The following is a 2,787-nucleotide window of genomic DNA, read 5'->3' as shown; positions in this document are numbered from 1 at the left end:
TTTCCTTCATTTCAAACTTGGCAAATCTGACTATTATGTGTCTTTGGGTTGCCCTTCTCAAGGAATATCCTTGTGGTGTTCTCTGTATTTCCTGAATTTGGATGTTGGCCTGTCTTCCTAGGTTGGGGAAGTTCTCCTGGATAATATCCTGAAGAGTGCTTTCCAACTTGGTTCCATTCTCCTTGTCACTTTCAGGTACACCAATCAAACATAGGTTTGGTCTTTTCACAAAGTCCCATATTTCTTGGAGGCTTTCTTCATTCCTTTTTATTCTTTTTTCTCTATTCTTGTCTTCACACTTTATTTCATTAAGTTGAACTTCAATCTCTGATATCCTTTCACCCACTTCACTGATTCAGCTATTGATACTTTGTATGCTTCACGAAGTTCTTGTGCTGTGTTTTTCAGCTCCTTCAGGTCATTTATGTTTTCTCTAAACTGGTTATTCTAGTTAGCAATTCCTCTAACCTTTTTTCAAGGTTCTTAGCTTCTTTGCATTGGGTTAGAACATGCTCCTTTAGCTCGGAGGAATTTGTTATTACCCACCTTCTGAAGCCTACTTCTGTCAATTCATCAGACTCATTCTCCATCCAGTTTTGTCCCCTTGCTGGTGAGGAGTTGTGATCCTTTGGAGGAGAAGAGGCGTTCTGCTTTTTGGAATTTTCACCCTTTTTGTGCTGGTTTTTCCTCATCTTCGTGGTTTTATCTACCTTTGGTTTTTCATGTTAGTGACCTTCAGATGGGGTTTCCGTGTGGACGTCCTTTTTCTTTATGTTTATGCTATTCCTTTCTATTTGTTAATTTTCCTTCTAACAGGCCCCTCTGATACAGGTCTGCTGGAGTTTGCTGGAGGTCCACTCCAGACCCTGTTTGCCTGGGTATCACTAGCAGAGGCTGCCAAACAGCAAAGATTGCTGCCTGTTCCTTCCTCTGGAAGCTTCGTCCCCCAGAGGGGCACCCACAAGATGCCAGCTGGAGCTCTCCTGTATGAGATGTCTGTCGACCCCTGCTGGGAGATGTCTCCCAGTCAGGAGGCATGGGGGTCAGGGACCCACTTGAGGAGGCAGTCTGTCCCTTAGCAGAGCTCAAGGGCTGTGCTGAGAGATCCTCTGCTTTCTTTAGAGCCAATGGGCAGGAATGTTTAAGTCTGCTGAAGCTGTGCCCACAGCCGCCCCTTTCCCCAGGTGTTCTGTCCCAGGGAGATGGGAGTTTTATCTATAAGCCCCTGACTGGGGCTGCTGCCTTTCTTTCAGAGATGCCCTGCCCAGAGAGGAGGAATCTAGAGAGGCAGTGTGGCTACAGAGGCTTTGTGGAGCTGCGGTGGGCTCCGCCCAGTTCGAACTTCCTGGCAGCTTTGTTTACACTCAGTTGGAAATGCAGAAATCACAGGCCTTCTGTGTTGATTTCACTGGGAACTGCAGACCAGAGCTGTTCCTATTCAGCCATACAGAGTCTCCCTCTTGGCAGCTCTTCAGAATAGAAGCCATGTCTCAGGCAGCAATGTGGCCAGATAGAAAGTTGGTGTTTCCTGTGCAAAAGAGTTAATCTTTGCAAGTGTGGTTCTGAGAAGTTGGTGGGAGACCCTATCTCTGCCAGTCATGGCAAAATACAGTCTGGGCAGGTTTCCAAGTTCAGCTGACATTCCTAAGCCAATGAGAAGTGTCCAAGATGGTTTCCAGCTTTCTCTCCAAGGGTAAGAGTTGAATGTGTTGACTGACCTTTACCAGCACGAACACATTTGCCATTTGACTCTGAGGAATAAATGGGTGACCTGACTGTGGGCACAGAGCTGAAGGCTGATTCTCCAGAAAACTCACCATCAGTTTGCTCAGCAACGCTGCTGACTCGGAACACATTTTGTTTTTTCTTTTTGAAACTGCACCATGCATTCTTGAAAGCATGACTCAACCTTACCAGCAGTCTCAGTGAGCTTGAAATGGCCTCAACTAGAGGATTTATAGCCTTTGCAAACACAGGGCACATTTCTTTGTTTCCTTTCAGAAACTGAGAAGTGATTCATTTTCAGTAAACAAAGAGAGGATTACCAACACATTTACTAGTCTGAAATTCAGCTTCCATTGAATGCAATTCCTTTAGTTCCTAGTAAAGGCATTGTGCATTTCAAACAGCTATCTTTCTTCTTTAATCCACTTTCTTTCTTCCTAGTGTGGAAAAGATATATAATTTAGCCCTCACTCAAATACAAATAAGATGAGTTTCAAAGGCCATTCAGGCCCTAATGTGTGTCCTTTGCAAGAACAAGAAACTGTGATTCTGAAGAATTTAAATACAGATACTGTTGGCAGCCAGAGATGTTTTCTGCTGTTGGAATGCAAAAGAAAATATTACTTTATAGCTGCACTGTGCCACTCCTGACATTGATGGGTCTTGTATTCACCAGAGGAGGGAAAATTAAAATATCTTACCTGTCTACACAGTATCCTTGGTGGTTACACAACAATAAAATATTCAGCAGTCTGATACCTTTACTGTTAAAACTGAAATACCAAATTGAAACTGGTTGAGAATGTGTGCAGTCTATTGTGTTCCTACTTTCTTTAGATTAGCTTTCTATCACAATAACTGCATTCAGTAGGGCTCATATTGTCTCAATTATAAAGTCAACTCCAGACATTAGCACTAGATTGCTTCAGCGAATCTCAAATATTTTTAACTGTTGACAAAAGTTTCAGTTTCATTATGCCAAGTTCCAGAGTAAAACTATGGTAATGTAATCACTTCTCAGACTTTCATTATTTGCATGTTCCCAGAAAATCATTATAACTT

The 2,787-nt window shown here is 42.8% G+C and overlaps 3 annotated features.

The window, feature by feature from the left end:
* Window positions 1,181-1,300: an enhancer, noted in NCBI's record as "active region_6569". NCBI's record gives its function as "activates an Ori minimal core promoter by ATAC-STARR-seq in GM12878 lymphoblastoid cells {active_cell/tissue: GM12878}" and the evidence as "EXISTENCE:reporter gene assay evidence [ECO:0000049][PMID:35858748]".
* Window positions 1,481-1,560: an enhancer, noted in NCBI's record as "active region_6568". NCBI's record gives its function as "activates an Ori minimal core promoter by ATAC-STARR-seq in GM12878 lymphoblastoid cells {active_cell/tissue: GM12878}" and the evidence as "EXISTENCE:reporter gene assay evidence [ECO:0000049][PMID:35858748]".
* Window positions 1,565-2,512: an enhancer, noted in NCBI's record as "NANOG-H3K27ac hESC enhancer chr12:58818865-58819812 (GRCh37/hg19 assembly coordinates)". NCBI's record gives its function as "activates a minimal SCP1, AML or CMV promoter by ChIP-STARR-seq in naive and primed H9 embryonic stem cells {active_cell/tissue: H9 hESC(naive and primed)}" and the evidence as "EXISTENCE:reporter gene assay evidence [ECO:0000049][PMID:30033119]".

The sequence above is a fragment of the Homo sapiens genome, chromosome 12, assembly GCF_000001405.40.
Source record: "Homo sapiens chromosome 12, GRCh38.p14 Primary Assembly".
Lineage (NCBI taxonomy): Eukaryota > Metazoa > Chordata > Mammalia > Primates > Hominidae > Homo > Homo sapiens.
This window is presented reverse-complemented; position numbering and strand designations above follow the sequence as displayed.